Source organism: Homo sapiens, chromosome 2 (assembly GCF_000001405.40).
Source record: "Homo sapiens chromosome 2, GRCh38.p14 Primary Assembly".
Taxonomy (NCBI): Eukaryota; Metazoa; Chordata; class Mammalia; order Primates; family Hominidae; genus Homo; species Homo sapiens.
The window spans coordinates 140065943-140086496 of NC_000002.12; the positions used below are offsets into that span (position 1 = coordinate 140065943).

Below are 20554 nucleotides of genomic sequence, written 5' to 3' on the forward strand. Positions count from 1 at the left end.
TTGTGAAATTAATTTTAATTAGCAAAACCCTCTTTTATGAGTTGAATTATGTCCTACCCAAAAGATATGTTGAAATCCTACCCCCTAGTACCTCAGAAGGTGAGCTTAATTGGAAATAGTTGCTGATGCAGATGTAATTAGTTAAGATGAGTTCATACTATAGTAGGGTGGGCCCCTAAACCTGTAGGATTGGTGTCCTTAAAAGAAGAGGAAAAACTTGGACACAGAGATGCACACACGGAAGACGACGGAAGAAACACAAGCAGAAGAATGTCATGTGGTGATGGAGGCAGAGATTGGAGTGATGCATCTACAAGCTAAGGATTACCAAGGACTTCAAATACAGAAACCTAGAAGAGACAAGGAGGGATTGTCTCCTAAAGTTTTAGGGGGAGCATAAGCCTGCTAACATTTGGATCTCTGCCTTCTAGCCTCCAGTATTGTGAGACAATAAATTTCTGTTGTTTTCAGCCACCAGTTTTAAGTAATTTGTTACTTGGTCTTTGAAATTGAATACACCTTTATACTTCTTTTTCTTTTTCACACTCTCTTTTCTCTTTCTCCTTTTTCCTCCTTTCTACTTTTCTTATTCCTCTACTCCTTCTTGTTCTTTTCTCTCATCTCTCACTAACCAGTGGCAAGAATTTTTTAAAAAATTACTTAAGTCACCATGTCTTCCAACTTAATTGATTTCCCAGGTCTGACATAATCTTAGCTGTTACCTTGCAAAAGCCACTGTCTGAATTATTTGATAAAGATCCCCTTTTATCCATGAATGCCAATGAATGCTTGAAAGGTTCAGAAACTCTCCCCTCAGTCTATGATGTTACAAAATACATGAATTGCTGGCAAAGTCTTGGAGCAATGTTGCTGCTCCATTTGGAGATGCTGAAGCATCTGTTTCATTGATCCTCTGGCATCTTTATGTCTTCAAAGACATGCAATATTCTTCCTTAAGGGAGTTGTTACAGTGCACTGCAAACAATTAGCAAGTCTCAGGACATGTGAACATGTGGATGCTTACCAGTCCCAGGTAGATGGGGTATTTTTCCTTGGTACTCAGTGTCACAACTAATCATATTTTGCCTCTCATAGAAGCACTGGGCCACTTCAGGAAGCGATTTTTCTACTCCAGATAATCACACTGCCCTGCTGGCTATGCAAATAATCTAGTATAGAACATCCTTCTTGAAAACCTTTGCTCAAGGAAATGTTATTTTAAGACCTGATTTTGTGCAACTAAAAAGGAACACTTGTCATTGACTATTTCCTTCTTTTAACATCTCAGCTTGCAAAGTTTTCTTGGTTACTTTGCCCTTTTATGTCAGGAACAATAATGAACAAGAAGAAAGCACAAAAACATTAGAGAAAGCTCACTTCATTTTTCAGGTCAATGCAGTTTTAAATGTATAATACACTTTTCAAAATAGGAATAAATAATATTTTCTAAGAAAGTGTATGTACTTTATGTAACAAATAATTATAAAGTGTTTTTATTATTCCTAGGGACCATAAAAGAGACAAGCTGGGAATATTATAATCTATTTCCTTAACACGTTTTCAGTCTAGCAGAGGAAGCAAGCACATACACAGATGACTACCTTTCATGCACAGCATATACAGGGCAGGCTGAATGACACATTGGAAAAATGTGCAGGCTCTGAAGTCACATTATCTAGGTTCAAATCCTGGCTCAGACATTTGCAAACCTCTAATCGTGAGCAAATTACTTAAACTTCTAAACTTCAGTATTCTCACTGGTCACTAAGTCCCCAGTCATGAGGCCATTTTGAGGGCCCTACAAGTTAATTTCAACATAAAGCGTTGGCATTGTTCCAGGCACATTGGGAGCCCTTAGAAATAGTAAGTTTTTATTCTACAAGAGGAAAAGATTTGGGCAAAGAGACTGAATAAAAGTAGCCTATTACAATAGGAATGCTGTTGTGGAATATTAACAATCTGGAAGCTATTCAACTTTGGCTGTGCTGAGTAGCTTCACAAATCTGTTCAACTCTCTCTACAGAGACCAACTAGTGACAACAACCAAAGAAGGAGGAAAAAAAAAAAAGAACTACAGGACATATGAAACAATGACTTAAAAAGAGGCAGTGACATTCTCACCACCTGCCCTGTTGTCTCCTGAGGTATCAGCAGCTGCTCCAAGGAGAACACTATCTATGTCATACATGGCAATTGCTTGAATGATTTTCTACAGAGACTTGCTATTTTTCTGTTGACAAGGCATATTGAATTGATCATTTGGCATTATATCATATTCAATTTACTGTCTCATAACACTTTGTTTTATATAAGGTGCTGTGTGCCAGAGGGCTCTGATGATGTTGAAAATGTATCACTTCAGTCACTCACCTCTACTGCTAATCTTTTTTGCTGCCAGCTTTTTAAACTTGAATTAATTTGGCAACTTAGCTGTGAAGTAAGCGTAGAAAATTTACTTTTGAACATAGGTAAAGCCAGCTGGAAGCTGAGGTGTAAGGTAAAAGAATGTACTTTGTTGGAGTTTGTTATACCAGATTTTTACCATTTGTTAATATAAACTTTTTAAAGAATAAACTATTTTAATAAAGTTTTAGATTCATGGAAAAGCTATGAAGATAGTTCAGAGAGTTACTATACATCTAACAGTTTCCCCTACTGTTAGCATCTTATATTGTGTATGATACATTTGCAGCAACTAATGAACTAATATTGACGCATTGCTATTAACTACAGTCCATACATTTTCAGATTTCCTTAGATTTTTCCTAATGTTCTTTTTTTATTCTAGCCTGTGACCCAGGATACACATTATGTTTAGTGACCATGTTTCTTCATACTCCTTTTGGCTGAGACAGTTTTTTACACTTTCCTTGTTTTTAATGACCTTGGCCAGCTGAAGTACTGGTCAGGAATTTAATAGAATTTCCTTAATTTTAAAGTATTTTTCTCATGACGAGACTGAGAATTTGGGGATTTGTGAGGAGGACTACAGAGCTAACATTCTATGCTCACCATCATATCATATCAAGTGTGCATGCCATCAACAAGACTTAGCATGTCAACCCTGATTCCCTGGTTAAAACAGCGTTTGTCAGGTTTATACATTGTAAAGTTTCCCTTTTCTTCTTCTTTTCCATACTTCATTCTCAGGAGGGACGTCAGTTAACTTGTATGAATTTCTGCTCCATCTCCTTGAGGGTAGAGTGTCTACACAAATTATTTGGAATTCTTTAATGCTTGATATTTGTCAAACCCCCCCATTTACTTATTTATTCAATTATTTACACCAATATGGACCTAAAGATATTTATTTTATACTTTGGGTTATAAACCAATGCTATGCTATTTATTTTACAGCTTAAATTATTTTAGCTTTGGCCATTGGGGTTCATTGAGTTGGCTCTTATATCCCTTTTACATCCCCTCATCATTGTGGGTTGTTTAGTTTTCAGAAATTTTTGAAATACTTCCTTACTTTCTGCAAATACAAGATACTCAACAATCATCTTGCCCCAGACCCATAATTGGCCATTTCTCCAAGAGGAACTTGTTCCGCTTATGGGGGAATACTCTTAGATAGTGAGATCTGACTATTGGGTATGCTCACTGCTCTTGGAGTGTCATTGCTTCCGATACCAGCCTTTTTGCCAATTGCACTTCCTCATAATTCCCTAGGATCTCATGGACCTCAAAATGCCCAGGTCCCCACACTCTAGCAGCTCTGAACAAGCTAGCCATTGGATAGCAGGGCAGAACCATCTTTTCCCCTTCCCCAAATGAAAAGTTATTTACCTGTGTCCAGTTTCTTCACTGCCCTTGCAATCAGCTTCCTAAGATAATTAGTGATTTAAAACTTGGACAGAATCTTACAGTTGATTTTAAATAAGTGTTTGTTACATTGAATTGAATCTGATACTCTAATTCCCATTAAATTGTCAACAACCAATAATGAATGAAAGTGTTACTATTCACACAGGACAATTGAATTTTTGGTAGAAAGTATCTGAAAACACAGCCATGGCTCAAATAAATGACACCAAAAGGTAGCAGATGCTCAGGAAGATGTATATGCAAGGAAGCAACCCTCAGTGCAATGATTTCTGATCTAGAATCTTGAAAAATTAAAAGGATATGGAAAATCCTATAATACATCAAACAAAATTAGAATAAACATTGTTTTCAGAAATTTGGGTGGGTATATATATGTGCCAAGTCATTATGTTCATCACATCACAATTCACATGTTTACGAGGCTATTTTTTTCATAATTTTATGTAAGCATAAAGAAGATATTAGAAATCTGGAAGATTTCTATGCCAAATCCTAATTTGGCAAATCAAATAATTTCTGTTCCATGTTTTTTCATTTCTTTGGAAACATTCAGCATCATTCATAAGGGCAGTGGCATGTCATACTCGTCAGTTTTTCTTTGCTGTGGTCTGCTCTTATGGATATGGAAAAGTAAAATCAATCTGTGAGAGGAACCACATTCTTTGCTTCTACTTCCAGGCTTATTATCTTTATTAAGTGACATTCCCATCCATCAGGTAAGCCGTAAGAAAATTAAGTGTGTGGGTTTAGCTTTATACATAATTCAAGTTCTGTCATTCGTAACTGTGAAGCTTTAGCCCAATAACCTCAGTTGACTCATTTGTAAAATGGAACTAATGATACTATGTACTGGTAGGGTTGTTGTAATCGCTAGGAACATTTAGTAGGGCGTGCATTCAGTAAATATTGTAAGCAAGTCAGTATTTTGTAAACTACAGATGACAACTTCTGAGTGAATCATGAAGTCAATTGAATGAGCTGTCGAAACATTAAAATAATAGAATTATTTTATAAACAGCATGACTAACAGCATACTTAACAGCTCAACAGAGTACACTCAAGTAGTTAGAGTAAATTTAATATCCAAAACTTTTGTTCTGTGTGCATGCATGCTTGTGTGTTTCTGTGTGTCTGTGTATGTGTGTGTGAGACTGTTATGTCTGTGTATAAGAACTAAGTCATTAGTTAAAATGCATTTCCTACTAATGGTCATGATAAGAATTATTTGAAATTCCAGACAGATGCTTCTTTACTAGTAATTAAATTGACCCTTCCCTACCCTTCTTTAAAGCTCAGCTTTCCCTTTTGGGGTAAACCTTCCTTTACCTCACTCTCTTGGTTAAAACATTTCTCACAATGTGAACCCCTAAATTGTACAGTTATCAGAGTCACATTGTTCATGTGATTGTTTGATTAATAGCTGCATCTCTTTTTAGCCAGTAAAGTTGCTGAAAGTGATGATTTGTCCTTTTTGCTCACACCTGTGTTCCCTGCATCTAACACGGTGCCTGGCCCACAACAGATGCTGATAAAATATTAAATGAATGAATGTGTCCTCCATGTCCTCCCACATCACTTCAAGCATATGCAGCCATTATGTCCTATAAATTCTTTGTACTTAATATCCCTCAGGTTCATCCACTCCACTGCATTATTTAGGCAACTTAAATCTTCTTGTATGAATTTCAGCAATATTCTTCTAACTGGCTCCTTATCTATGCCCTGCTGCTTTTCCTCCCACTGAATCCAATTAATTTTCTCCCTAAGTGATTTTTTACTAAAATAAAAATCTGATCATGCCACCTCTCAGCTTAGTATCTTTCAATGGCATCTAATTGCCCTTAGGAAGATGTTTAAACTCTTATTATGTAGGGGGTACAGACATTCACAGTCACAAATTCCATTGTACAAGTTTTTAACTTTATTTTCTTATAACTCGATTTGATTTTCAGATTCCAAACTACAACTATCTGACTCAGAATCAATTTAATCAATTTAATGTAAACTCAGTCCGACTTAGTGATTTATCAGTCAATTAAGATTTATATTTCAGTCACATCAAGGACTATAACCCTCATATTCTCATTTTTTTGCACTGCTTTTCCTATAGGAGTTGAGTCTAATCTATGGGAGAATAAGGGAGGACGACAGAAGGGCCTTATGCAATTGCCAAGACAACACGTTAGGAAAAAGGGCTTCAACTTCTTGTGCTCCATGTGCTGCAGGTTCATATTGGCCTTCTAATTCTGGATGTGCTCTCTGAATCTCCACTGGAGGTGAGCTCATCTATTTTAGGCGACTTGGACAGTCCAGGTATGCTGATGTAGCTGTATTACCTTTTCAGTGATGGTGGTCTATGGAGAGGGCAGTCCTGCACGCCTCCAGTTTCCAGAGGTAATTGTCTACATCAAAGCCTTCTGATGAGTGACCTCTGTGTTGCTACATTAATATTCCAAGTCAGCACTCTGGCAAATGTGTCCTGTATCTTCTCCATCTTCCTGTTTCTGTCTGCCCCTCTCTCCTATCTGCCTCCCGTTTCCCTTCTTAAATACAATGCCTCATTCAGAACCTATGGGAACGGCCATATGACATGCCTTTTAGAAACTGGGGATTACCAATGGGCTGCCACTGTGTCCCTCAAAGCTTTCAACAGGCATTTGGACTATAAGAGCCACATAGCTTCACTGAAGCACTGATTTTTCCTTTTTTCAAATTCCCCAAAGTTGAAGTCCTCAAGGAGGGGATTCTATTCTCTGAGATCCCCATATTTCTCCGCACTTGCTAAACACTCTAGGATATAATATGACTGCAATTTTTCTTCAAAGCCTATAGGAATTTTAGTATCAAGAATGGAAGAAAAAATTGAGCTATGCTCACTTACATCCTGTATTTTATCTCTGGATGATGACTTTGATACATTTATACATGACCAATTTGTCTTTATCCCTTTTATTCTCCCAAGTTGAAAAATTTACTCTGGGATTTATGGTTACTTAGAGACTTTCACAGAAACCTGACCAGTTGGAGTTGGAGGTCGTGGTAGCATTTATTTTGCCAAGCATTGTTCTAAGCACTTTATTTCATTATTTCATTTGATTCTTACAACAAATATCTGAGGAAGGTATGACTACTATTTTTTGCCAGTGGGGAAACACAAATATGAAAAAGAAGTAATCTGTTTACAATTGTACAACATATGGTAAGAAAAAATCTAATCCAGAGACATTTCTGTTGTTGTTCTTGCTGTGTATTGTTTTTGGCCTATATTTACTTTCTCTTCTAATTTTTATTTTTTAAACAAATTTTATTGTTTATATTTGAAGTTTGCAAGATGATGTTATGAGACATACATAGTAAAATGGTTACTACAGTGAAGCAGATTAACCTATCTATCATCTCACACAGTTACAGTTTTTTGTGACGTGAGCAGCTAAAATCTACTTATTTAACAAGAATCCCTAGTATTGTATAATTTTATTAACTATGACCCCCATGTCATACATTAGATATCTAAACTTGTTCATACCACATATCTGCTACTTTGTATCCTTTGACCTACATCACTCCTGTTTCTTTCTCCCACTCCCCCAAACTGGTAACCACTGGTTTATTCTCTATCTCCATATATTTGACCTTTTAAAAAAAATATTGTGCATATAAGTGTGATCATGAAATATTTTTCTTTTGAGTCTGGCTTATTTTACTTAGCATAATGTTCTTCAGGCCCATCTTTATCTACTCATCCATCAATGGACACTTCATTTGTTTCTATATTTTGGTTATTGTGAATCGTGATGCAGTGAACATGGAAGTGTAAATACCTTTACAAGGTGGTGATTTTGAGAGGTGACAGCATGCTGGCAGTCCTCACAGCCCTCGCTCGCTCTCGGCGCCTCCTCTGCCTGGGCTCCCACTTTGGCGGCACTTGAGGAGCCCTTCAGCCCACCGCTGCACTGTGGGAGCCCCTTTCTGGGTTGGCCAAGGCCGGAGCCGGCTCCCTCAGCTTGCAGGGAGGTGTGGAGGTAGAGGCGCGAGCCAGGGCTGCGCTCGGCGCTTGCGGGCCAGCTGGAGTTCCAGGTGGGCGTGGCTTGGCGGGCCCTGCACTCGGAGCAGCCGGCAGGCCCTGCCGGCCCCGGGCAATGAGGGACTTAGCACCCAGGCCAGCGGCTGCGGAGGATGTACTGGTTCCCCCAGCAGTGCCAGCCCACCGGCGCTGCGCTCCGGGCCTCAGCTGCCTTCCCGCGGGGCACGGCTCAGGACCTGCAGCCCGCGATGCCTGAGCCTCCCACCCGCTCCATGGGCTCCTGTGCGGCCCAAGCCTCCCCCATGAGCGCCGCCCCCTGCTCCACGGCGCCCAGTCCCATGGACCACCCAAGGGCTGAGGAGTGCGGGCGCACGGTGCGGGACTGGCAGGCAGCTCCACCTGCAGCCCAGGTACGGGATCCACTGGGGGAAGCCAGCTGGGCTCCTGAGTCTGGTGGGGCCTTGGAGAACCTTTATGTCTAGCTCAGGGATTGTAAATACACCAATCAGCACTCTGTATCTAGCTCAAGGTTTGTAAACACACCAATCAGCACCCTGTGTCTAGCTCAGGGTTTGTGAATGCACCAATGGACACTCTGTATCTAGCTACCCTGGTGGGGCCTTGGAGAACCTTTGTGTCCACACTCTGTATCTAGCTAATCTGGTGGGGACCTGGAGAACCTTTGTGTCTTAGCTCAGGGATTGTAAACGCACCAGTCAGCACCCTGTCAAAACAGACCACTCGGCTCTACCAATCAGCAGGATGTGGGTGGGGCCAGATAAGAGAACAAAAGCAGGCTGCCCGAGCCAGCAGTGGCAACCCGCTGGGGTCCCCTTCCGCACTGTGGAAGCTTTGCTCTTTCGCTCTTTGCAATAAATCTTGCTACTGCTCACTCTTTGGGTCCACACTGCTTTTATGAGCTGTAACACTCACCACAAAGGTCTGCAGCTTCACTCCTGAGCCAGTGAGACCACGAACCCACCAGAAGGAAGAAACTCCGAACACACCGGAACATCAGAAGGAACAAACTCCAGAAGCGCCACCTTAAGAGTTGTAACACTCACCACGAGGGTCTGCGGCTTCATTCCTGAAGTCAGTGAGACCAAGAACCCACCAATTCCGGACACAATTTCATCTTCTTTGGCTATATTCCCAGAAGAGGGATCACTGGGTCATATGGCAATTCTATTTTACAAATTTGCATACTGTGTTCCATAATGGCTGTACCAATCTTCATTCCCATCAATAGTGTATTAGAGTTCCCTTTTCTTCACATCCTTGCCAGCATGTCTTACCACTTGTCTTTTTGATAATAGTCATCTTAACAATGTGACATCATATCTCAAAGTAGTTTTAATTTGCATTTCCCTAATGAGGACTGATGTTGAGCACTGTTTTATTTATCTTTTGGGCATTTTTATATCATCTTTGGAGAAACGTCTGCTCAGGTCCTTTTCCCATTATTTTAATCTTACCCAGAGACCTTTAATTTGGAGTTCATGTTTTCAATTATTTTACTATGCTGCAAACATCATCATGATGCATAGTGCCTCCATATCTTGGTGTCAGATGTTTTCACCTCTGGGTAGAATATTCTTTCTCTGATTTTCTTTTCCTTATCATTTAAAATTAAATGCATGAACCCACCTCCTCTAAAAGAAAGGTATCTTCTTTATCACCTATCTCCCTTTTCCCCTGTTGCCTAATTTCACATTTCTTCTTTGTGATCTTGCCATGCCCCCGGCTGCTCTTCATCCTTCCAGACATCAGTGTCCTGTAATGGCTGCTTTAACTGTTTGTGTGTCAATCAGATCATGAGTTTAGTAAAATTTTGGCAAAAACCATATCTTCTTGATATCTGTACTCCAATGCATAATATAGTGTCTGGCATATTAATAAGTCTTTAAAATAATTTGTTGAATGAATTAGTGAGGAATGAAGGCACCCTGCAGTGTTGATGGTCAAATAAGAGAAACTTTAAAAATGAGAAATATGGCAGGTTTAAATATGCCTGTTTAATAATAATAGAAAATCTTGTTTTTAGGTCTCTGGGAGACGGGTAAAAATAGCAGTTCTTCTGAGGCTAATGACTCTCACTAACCTTAGATATCCATCTTGTTCCCTCGACTTTGAAGAAAACATCTGAAATAGTATGTTTTCCCAAAGGTGTCTATTGTTCATGAGTTTTGAAGTTACTAAAATACCAGTAAAGGAATATTCTTTCTGCTGCTTTCAAGGATTATCTGTGATTTTTCTGAAGTCAATCTTCAGAATCTCAACAGGCAAAAGACTACCACAGGTTCCTGTAAGAAGTCCTATAGATCTGGCTTTGAGCAATAGCTATGGAAAGAATTGTGTGGGCAGCAGCCAGTGGGACCCAAAAAACAGAAGTTGTCACAGCAATGGGGCACAATTAGTTCAAATATATCCAGGAGAAACAAAAAGAGTTTCACGGACTAAGACACCTGGACTCTTGGTAAATTTCCCAACCACTTTACCCACCAGAAAGAGCAGTATTCGGTGGGTAAATGTGGAAATGTGAGCCATGTCTATTACAGCCAGCAGTCATGTTGTTTGGCCAAATGGCTAACTTTCAAGGGTATCCACAGAAAATATTCAAGACTAAAAACCTGGCAGAACTTACTACTAGCCCATTCAAAAAAGACACATTTGTCCTGTTCTCTATATTCCCTAATACAAGCATCTACTAAAGGTCAACTGTTGATTTATTAAGGAAAGATAAATTAGGAATTCAAACAAAATGTTTGCAGAATGTCAGAAACGCAAGAGCCTGAACTAATTACTTGAACATAACTGCTTGAGATTTGACCAAGAATCAATTCATTAGCATTCAGCACCATCTCTTTTGCATAAAGAAGGAAAATAAAACATGCCAAAAAGAATGGACAGTTTCTAGGAGTGAATAAAGGAATAGCCTTTTCAGAGTAAAGCTGCATATCTGCTGTATATTTTAGGTGCAATTATCAAATGTTGATATGCTATTCAGCTTGCTAATTGCATTTCTGAATTCAGTGTGTGAAATATTGAAGGCATTTAAGAACCACAATAGTGGGGAATGGTTTCCAAGTGCTAATAGCTAATGTCAAGCAATATAAGTATGATGAATGCTACTGAATTCTCCAGATAGACATATATACCTCTAAAAATGTAAATAAAGATTCCTAGATTTGAAGACACCTTCTTCCTCTATTTTTATGGTAGCAATTTCTATATACAGACCTTTGATTAACTTTTAAATTAAATTGTGTTTTCTAGCATTGTAACCAATTTCTGAACAATCAATTGAACTATCCATGCAGGTGAATTTGCAAAACTTTCACTATTTTTATAATCAAATGTTGACATACTGTTTTTTGACTTTTGGTTCTTCATTTGTTTGGAGGTCGAGAGTGAACAAAAGCTTCTAGAGAAAATGTTAGCTACACAATTGAGTTTCCTCAATACCCTACTTAACTCTTGATTGTACACGGGTACACAACATTAATCTCTTCTCAGATTTTAAACACAGAAAATTTGTGGTCCTCTTTTCCTTATATCTCAAAAAGCACAAAGCAAGTAAAGGGTATACTGGAAGCAGTCAATTCATACTCAGTTGACTAACTCTACTCATATTCCTTCCAAAACACTGCAACATTTTGCCTGTTGTCTCATATAATAATAGTTCCCTGTATTTTTGTTTGTATGTTGATTTTTCAGTCCCAAACATTCCTCAATTCTAAATAATAAATCTTTAAACCAATTAAGAGTCATCACTGGATATGATTATTTTTTCCAATAATATTAGATACTTTCCAAATATTAATAAGCCTGTTTTCAAGATGTAGTGCATAGCAAAAAAAATAATGAGTATTGTTATGTGTTATAATCTGGGTATTAATGACCATCTGGGAAAGCTGATAGCCCAAGGAAATATCCTATGGTGACTTTATGATTTCTATTGTAGCTCATTGGTTTCATTTTAATTAGGTAAGAAAAGAAAAGAAATCTTTTCCCCCACTGTGGCTGTCTGAAGGAATAATAGTGCCCTGGGCAACAGGTATGCCTGTTTTTATTAAATTGGAAACAAAAATAGGATTCAGTTTCTTAGAACTGATTAACCCTTGGGGAAGAAAGATCTTGAAAGTACTATACAAACTGTCATTTTGCAGCATTTTAATTGATACACACACACACACAACTTCTGTTTATAAAACACCTAAAATAGCATTTTTGAATGTGTTTTAAGATTTTCTGGTGAATCATCAGCAGAATATAGATGTTTCCAGAATAAAATAATGTGATTTGTGACATAATTTTATGCAAGCGAGTGCTCTTTGATTATCATATCAAAAATGCTGTCCTTCTGACAATGACCAAAGATGTTTTTTCACAATAATAAGTAGATTACATGCATCTGATAGTAAATAGTTATAAAAATATGCAGGTTTTTAGTGCTGTTATTTGGTTAGATAATTTAAAATAAATGAATACTGAACATTCATGTACCTCAAAAATTCTTACTTATTGTTATACATTACAATCAGAGATAGAATATTTAAAAGCATGAAATACAAAGCAAGGTCCTTTGCTCCATAAAATATCAAATTCAAATTAAACATAAATAAATTGCTCACTAATGGGAATCGGGAAATGTTTTGTCTTGCTTGTTGGAGCAGAGAGAGGTCATGAGAAATAAAACAAGACAAAGACAAGAAAGTTTGAGGAAAGGCACTGAACAGAAAATTTAGTAGAAAAGATATGGAAAAAAAAAAAACCCTAGGGAGGTAATGAAAATAAGACACTAAATGTGAAAGAAAGATAATAGTAAGATACCATTCACAGCTGGGTGCAGTGGCTCATGCCTGTAATCCCAGCACTTCGGGAGGCCAAGGCCCGTGGTTGGCTTGGGCTTAGGAGTTCGAGGCCTGCCTGGGCAACATGGTGAAACCCAGTCTGTACAAAAAAATACAAAAATTAGCTGGGTGTGGTGGTACACTCCTGTAGTTCCAGCTAATGAGGGGCTGAGGCAGGAGGATGGTTTGAACCTGGGAGGTTGAGGCTGCAAAGGAGCCAAGATCACGCCACTTACTCCACTTACTCCAGCCTGGGTAACAAAGTGAGACTTTGTCTCAAAAGAAAAAAAAAAAAAAGAAAAAGAAATTTCATTCAGCAAATATATAGTTAAGAACAAACAAATACAAAATTCAACTTCATTGGAGAGCTCCCTAATTTTATTTTTAAGGGGTCAGGAAAATGTATTTTTGAATTTATTTTTTTTCTAGAGCTTTTTAAATGAATACTTTATGGGCACTATCTCATTAATCTTTTCTTACTGTACAGAATATAATTACTTCTGTTTTACATTTGAAGAAACATGTTTATGGTCTATTTTGATGTAGAGCTTTGCTGTAGTTCAGTGAACATGAATTGGGAATAAAGCTGAGACAGTCTGGCTCCATTTACCAAAACATGGACAGGACTGTAAATTCAGTGGGCAAAGTGTAAAAGGAGACACAAAATGCTTTTGTGTAGTTTTTTGGTAAGTGAACTGAAGTGATAGATGTCAAATGTGAGCAGTATATTTATTACCCTGCCCCAGTTTCTGAATATATATATAACTTTGTGAAAATATATTGAGCTTTATATGTGTGGGGGGGATTTGCATACTTTTTTAAAAAATTACAAAAAGATACTTTTACGAAACAGTATATAACAAAGAAAATAAATAGCAATCACTTAAAATTTGTCTTAATGAGAAAATTAATACTTGCTAAGCAATCTTTTACCTTTGGGAAGCTCCACACACATTTTATTTTTGCTTTCATTGATTAAAACATTTTTGAACTTCGTGTTTAGGATATATTTTTAGGCAGTGGGGCATTTTGTTGTTGTTGCTGTTGTTGTTGTTGTTGTTTCGAGACGGAGTTTTGCTCTTGTTGTCCAGGCTGAAGTGCAATGTTGCAATCTCAGCTTACCACAACCTCCGCCTCCCGGGTTCAAGCAATTCTCCTGCCTCAGCCTCCTGAGTAGCTGTGATTACAGGCATGCGCCACCATGCCCGGCTGATTTTGTATTTTTAGTAGAGATGGGGTTTCTCCACGCTGGTCAGGCTGGTCTCACACTTCCGACTTCAGGTGATCTGCCCCCCTTGGCCTCTCAAAGTGCTGGAATTATAGGCGTGACACTGTGCCCGGCCACAGTGGGGCATTCTTATAGGTGTCCCCAGGAGCAGTAAAATGTATTCATGTTAGATGAATATTATCTTTGAGAATCATCAAAAGCCACCTGATGCCAAGTCTGGAAATTTGCCACAGCTTCCACAGAGAAAGCATGTACACTAGAAAGATACAAAAGAATCACTACATGACCCATTGAAAATGGAAACCTATGAAGATATGTATCCAACAGTTAAAGATTATTTATGCCCACATCATTTGTCAGTGCAAAATCTTAGAAACAATCTTAATTCCCATACATTGGAGAATGGTTTAGTAAACAATATACACAATGTAAATGTAGCTGTAAGGTGAATGAGGAAGAACTCTATGAACTGATATGGAGTAATTTCCAGGGCATAACCATTAAGTGAAGAAAATAAAAATAAGAGAGAGAGACTTTGCAGTAAGTTATCTGTCATGTAAGGCAAAAAGATTATATCTATCTTTTTTCCACATATATATATTTTCCATATATATATATATATATATATATATACATATATATATATATCCCTTTTGTGGAAAAAAAAAGAACAATAGAAAAAACTAACAGGAATGAATGAATTTGTTTGCCTGTAGATGATGAGTGAGAATGGTATGGAAAGAACAAGAAATGGGAACACAGTAGAAGGGACAATGAGAGAGTGAAACTTCTATAAATATGCCTTTTGTGGTACGATTCTTAGAACTATGCTAATATTTCATATTCTCAAAAAATTAAAAGAATTAATTTAAATCAACAGGTCATATGAAGGAATCAAAAATGAGGCCAAAAAATAGATGTTCCTCTATTTCAAATAAATATCATAAACACATTGAAGTAGATGTAGAAGAAAAGAACTAACCTAATTAATTTTAGACAACAGTATTTTGACTATGTACTCTAAATGAATTAAAACTGTACACAATTGGCCGGGCATGGTGGCTTACGCCTGTAATCCCAGCACTTTGGGAGGCCAAGGTGGGTGGATCACAAGGTCAGGAGATTGAGACCATCCTGGCTAACATGGTGAAACCCCGTCTCTACTAAAAAAAAAAAAAAAAAAAAATTAACAGCGTATGGTGGCATGCGCCTGTAGTCCCAGCTACTCGGGAGGCTGAGGCGGGAGAATCGCTTTAACCCGGGAGGTGGAGTTTGCAGTGAGCCAAGATCATACCACTGCACTCCAGCCTGGGAGACAGAGCGAGACTCCATCTCAAAAACAAGCAAACAAACAAACAAAAAAACTGTACACAACTACACAACTGTTATACTCTAGTTAGTAAATTGCTTTTTTACATAAATATAAGCAACTAATGTTGAGACTATGTGTATTCCAGAATTGCATAAATATGTGACTATAATGTGAATAATGAGAGCCAGATTTCTTACTATTAAATGAAAGGGTTTTAAATAATCTAGAATGAAACATGTGGTATAGGATTAGAACTAAAGGTATTAGCATAAAGTAATAGTTTTTTAAATAGATAAATATAAAATATAGAGATGTATGTGTTTATGTGTTTCCTTACATATGTTTACTAGCTCTTTTTATTGAGAAGACCTAGAAACAATGACATACCAGTGCAAGGAGAATGCCTGTTATCCAGATCTTGGTTTCTAAATAACATTCTCCAACAAAAATAAATAATACTTTTTAGAGCAAGCTTTATTACTGGACTGGTACATTGAATGGACAAGGTAAGACTGGAACATTTTGTGGTCTCGGAAAGTAAGGAAGTCTTAAAAAGTGGTGGAGATGTCAAGGAAAAGTCAACATGAGGAGGCTCCCATGTCCAATTTTAGGACAATCAGATCAAGAAAATAGATGGTCATAGTAATGCATGATAACCTATACTCTGACTGATTGATTAATTAATTATAACCTAAAATCAAGCATATATCCATGAGTCCATACTAATAAGTAAACAATTAAACAATGAAATAAACATGGGAAGAGAGAAAGCTGTCTCTGAAAATAAAAGTAAAGGGAAAAATAACTTTCTAGGAAAGACCTAAACACCACCCTAAATAGGTGATCATAGCTCATATCGCCAGAGGTAAAAAATAACTGTATCATGTAACTTCTGATGTAATACACTGAGGAAGGAAAAAATCCCCATCATTTATGTGTTATTTCTGCCAGAAATTTCTAAACTGAATTTAGTCATGAGAAAACATGTCAAACCCAATTTGAAGGATATCTTACAAAGCAATTGGCAAGGAGTCATGAAAGATAAAGAAAGATTTGAGGAAGTGTTCCAGATGAAAAAAGATTAAAGTGATGTTACATTTTACAAAGGCTATACTGAGATAATTAATATAACTTAAATAAGGTAATTCATTTAGTTAGTAGTATTGTGTCAATGATAAGTTCTGGGTTTGATCATTGGTTATGGTTATGTAAAATGTCAACATTTGGGAAAGCTGGGTGAAGTTTGCATGATAATTCTAAGTATTATCTATGCAACTTTCCAAGCTTAAAATTATTTCAAAATAAAAAATCTAGAAGTATTAATGTTAAACACACCCACACAAATACCCACACACATACACATGCAGTGGGGCAATTATCTGTAAGACATGAAGACAAAGCAGTGGTTCTGATCTCTAGATCACAAAGCATAATGGAGTGATACTAAGACAGCACAGCAGAAGATTGGCCAACCTCAGAGTCAGTCATCACAGAGAGAAAAATTCTCAGCATATCATGACAAATGAATAGGACAAATAGTATCAAACAGCAGACACTGTAATTTTATATTTTAAAAGACCAGCAGAAACTGTAACTTTATATTTCAAAAGACATTTCCTGTCAGGATTGGATGCAGATATAAACCATATTTCTTTCTCTTCAACAGATACTTATAAAACTTGACATCACTTAAATGAAAAGGATAATGATAAGTTAGTGCCAAAAGGATCCACACTACATAATGTAATAGCTTATATTGAGATAGAGGACCTGAGATTTTCACTTGTTACATAACAATTTGTAAATATTTAGTTATACATACCATGTCCATTTGTTAGCACCCACTGGACAAGGCAGACTAGGAGAAGTTGGCTCCCAGAGCTGAACTAAGTCTGAGACTTTAAACAGAACATTCCAGATCTACACAACTGTCTTCTAAGCTATGGGAGAAGTAAAAATGTATGAAGAGCATATCAGTTCTGAATATCTACATCCCAGACTTCAGAAATCAATAAGATATAATGAAGCGAGTTAATAGAGAGAAACCAAGAAGACAACGAGTGTCCTCAACTTGAGATCAGTAAGTCAGAAAGAAGCAACTGTGCATGATGATCTATACAAGCAACTCCAAAGGAAAGGAACCTGCTTCCCAGGACAGAATCTTTTGTGTTTTATGGATTAGGCTGTTCTTGCATTGTTACAAAGAAATATTTGAGACTGTGCAACTTTCAAAGAAAATAGGTTTAATTGGCTCATGGTTCTGCAGGCTATACAGGAAGCATAGCAGCATCTGTTTCTGAAGGGCCTGAGGAAGCTTACAATCACTGCTGGAGGCAAAGCAGAAGAATAGGTATCTCATATGGTAAGAACAGGAATGAGAGAGAGTTGGGGGAATGGGGGAGTTGTCACACACTTTTAAATGACCAGATCTCACAAGAGAACTCACTATCAGGAAGGCAGCATGAAGCCATGAGGGATCTGCCCCCATGACCCAAACATTTCCCACCAGACCCCACCTCCAGCATTGGGGATTAAATTCAACATGTGATTTGGGTAGGAACCAATATCCAAACTATATCAGTATAAGAAAAAAATATTGTAGCTTCTCTTTCATTTGCTAGCTTCTCACATTTTTAATTTCTATTTTTAAGAATGTTTTGTGATGAATATTACACCCAAGTTTCTATATATAATTTATAAAGAAATATGCAAATATGAAAGTTACTAAAAATTTTTGTGCTGATAAGAATAAAAAATAAATGTTGCTGATATTTCTTGTTCTATTTCTATTTGGTAAGCAGTATATATTAATGTTTGCAGTTTGACACATATAGATTACATTTTGATTACAATAAGGGAAAGTGTTTTCAGTAATTTGGGTTAAAAGTTTTCCAAATAAGATACAGGTAAAATCAGATGTAAGAGCTATTCTGCATGAAATTGCCAAGTAATTGACAAGGTGAGTTTGTCTGCCCCAGCTGGCTTGTCACATCTACTCTTCTTTCTCTTCCTAGACACAGATAACTATATGCACTGTTTAAAAATTAGAACAATAAATGCAATATTTGTAAACTGGCCTATGATCTCTGACCTCTGGCCAGAATTATGTTTATAGCAGGTTGAGAGCAGAATTGAGACCACAGGTGACCATCCTGGCAAAAAAGTAGGTCACAGACTGAGATGTAAACCTTATTCCTTGATAAGGTAGGGTCAGAAACCAAGTTGGCCACAGAAATACTAATCAGAAAATATTTATATCTGTGGTTGCAGAAGTTACAGGAAATATATCCACACATATACTCTGTTTAGATAAAAATGCATTCTAAATTGGCAACCTGGATAGCTATGTGTGAAAAATAGTTTCTTCCTGAGATAGTTTGGGTTCAGCAATCTCCATGTCTGGAACATTAATCTTTTGCTATGAGACCATCTCTGCTTAGCAAAAATCCATACACTGTAAAAATATATCCTTAAAACTCAATACGATTTAGCATTCAAAGCCTGTGTCTTTCACCTTAGCTTTTGGCTCACCTATTCATTGCAAATAACTTACAAAAGATCATATTTGTACATTTTTGTGAAATTACCTTTTGAAAGGATAACTCAACATGCAACTGGGTGAGAGGCCATCTGAAGATTAAGAGGGAGTCTAGAAGCAGGGCTGGAGAAATGCCCTCCCCTATCAGCAGAAACAGTTCAAACAGCCCCAGGAGGTGGCCTCATGTGTTAGTCAAGAAGACACAGAGCTCTACAAAAGAAAGAAAGAAAACAGGTAGTTGCACCATGGGCTGGCAGAAGATGCCAGTGGCTTATTTTGGACCAGGGGTAGTCCATCTCCATCAGTCAGTCTGGAGAACGCCTTCCCTTCTAAAAATCACATTTCAAAAAAATAATTGGTCACATCATTGGCTGAATATATTTACTGTGCGTAAGTCATCTGGTACTGAGAAGAGGTAGCCAAAGGTTACTGTTTAGAGTCATTTTTTATAGGAAAAATATTTGCTCAAAGGATAATTAAAATAAAAGGAAAGGAAAGAAAGGAAGAAAAGGAAATAAAAAGAAAGATATTTCAAAATCAAATAAATTAATTTCAGCTTACCCTGGAAAATCTAATTTCTTTCGGTAATATTCCTCTCCAGTTACATGAGAGTTGATGATAAATAATTTGGGTGTTTTCATGAAGTATAGCATATCTAATAAGCTTCTGAGTAGTGTCCTAAATTCCTGGAAACACTGTCAAATACTATGTATCACACATGTTAACAAGAGCTTACTTATTCATGTACATATGAATCAGGAAGGTTAGGCAGTCCCTTACAGGATTTTAAGCTTTAAAAATGAAATAAAAAACAACTCAGAACAACACTGAAAAGGCCTGCTCTGGTTGGCCAGTGAGTATCACAAACAAACAAACATTTTTCTTATTGTAACCTCACACAGCACCCCAGTCCACTACTCCAACCTCTTCCTTCTAAGCAGCTGTTCTAGACAGGTGTCCTGGCTGTAACAGTCTTCCTCAGGCAGGATCCCTGTCTAAGACAGGTAAGGACCACAGCCTTACCTGTCTGCACAACCATGTACTCCTCAAAGATAGTTAAAGATCCTCTTATCTATTTCACAGTCTAATTATAAATCCCATTTGCCATCATCAAGTGGTGATTGTAGATTCACCAGTAGAGTTCAGTGTTTCTCTAATAACTATCTAGCTAGGGAAAAGTTTAGTATTCTGATTTCAGCACAGTCAGAAAGAGCAAATATTGAACTCAGCAGCTCAAGTTGAAGAAAAGACATTGCTCTCCTTAATAAATGCTTTTTATTAGTATCAGGCTGTCATTCTTTCTCACAGATACCCTTCTAATCCTTCCTTTTGCACATGGTCTTTTTTCATCATATTATGTTTATCCATGTAGTGAACATGTCTCTCTCCCCTACTTATTAACAGACTCTTTTAGTCAAGCAAGTGATTTCATTCTTTCTTATTACCAGCTTACTGCAAAACACACACATAAACATACACACACAACAGTGCAGACAAATGTTTCTCGCTTAAAAATATATATATATATATATTTAAAATAATTTTGTGAACCCTGCATTTTGATGTTTAATTTGATTCCATTCCTGATATTCAGACTTACGAACTTTCTTTTTTTCAGGTTCTACCATTTTCTTGTTGTTAGGAAGTAGCTTGGACAAGTTCACGCAGAGGAAAGAATCAGGCTTTCTGTTTCTATGGTCCTTCTCTCCTTCACATTCTGACTGGACATGTGACCTTGACATTTCTCACTGCTCAGTGATTCCAGATC

The 20554-nt window shown here is 37.3% G+C and overlaps 1 long non-coding RNA gene across 2 annotated transcripts in view; it reads right to left on the reverse strand.

Annotated features, from left to right (window-relative positions):
* Positions 1-13635: 13635 nt before the first annotated feature.
* LINC01853 (long intergenic non-protein coding RNA 1853) overlaps positions 13636-20554 on the reverse strand; it is a 38124-nt gene continuing 31205 nt past the window's right edge. For both annotated transcript variants that reach the window (NR_183815.1, NR_183816.1), the window contains exons 5-6: positions 18836-18996; positions 13636-14192 (exon numbers count right to left, since the gene is read on the reverse strand). This is a non-coding gene — a long non-coding RNA (long intergenic non-protein coding RNA 1853). The remainder of the gene's footprint in view (positions 14193-18835; positions 18997-20554) is intronic.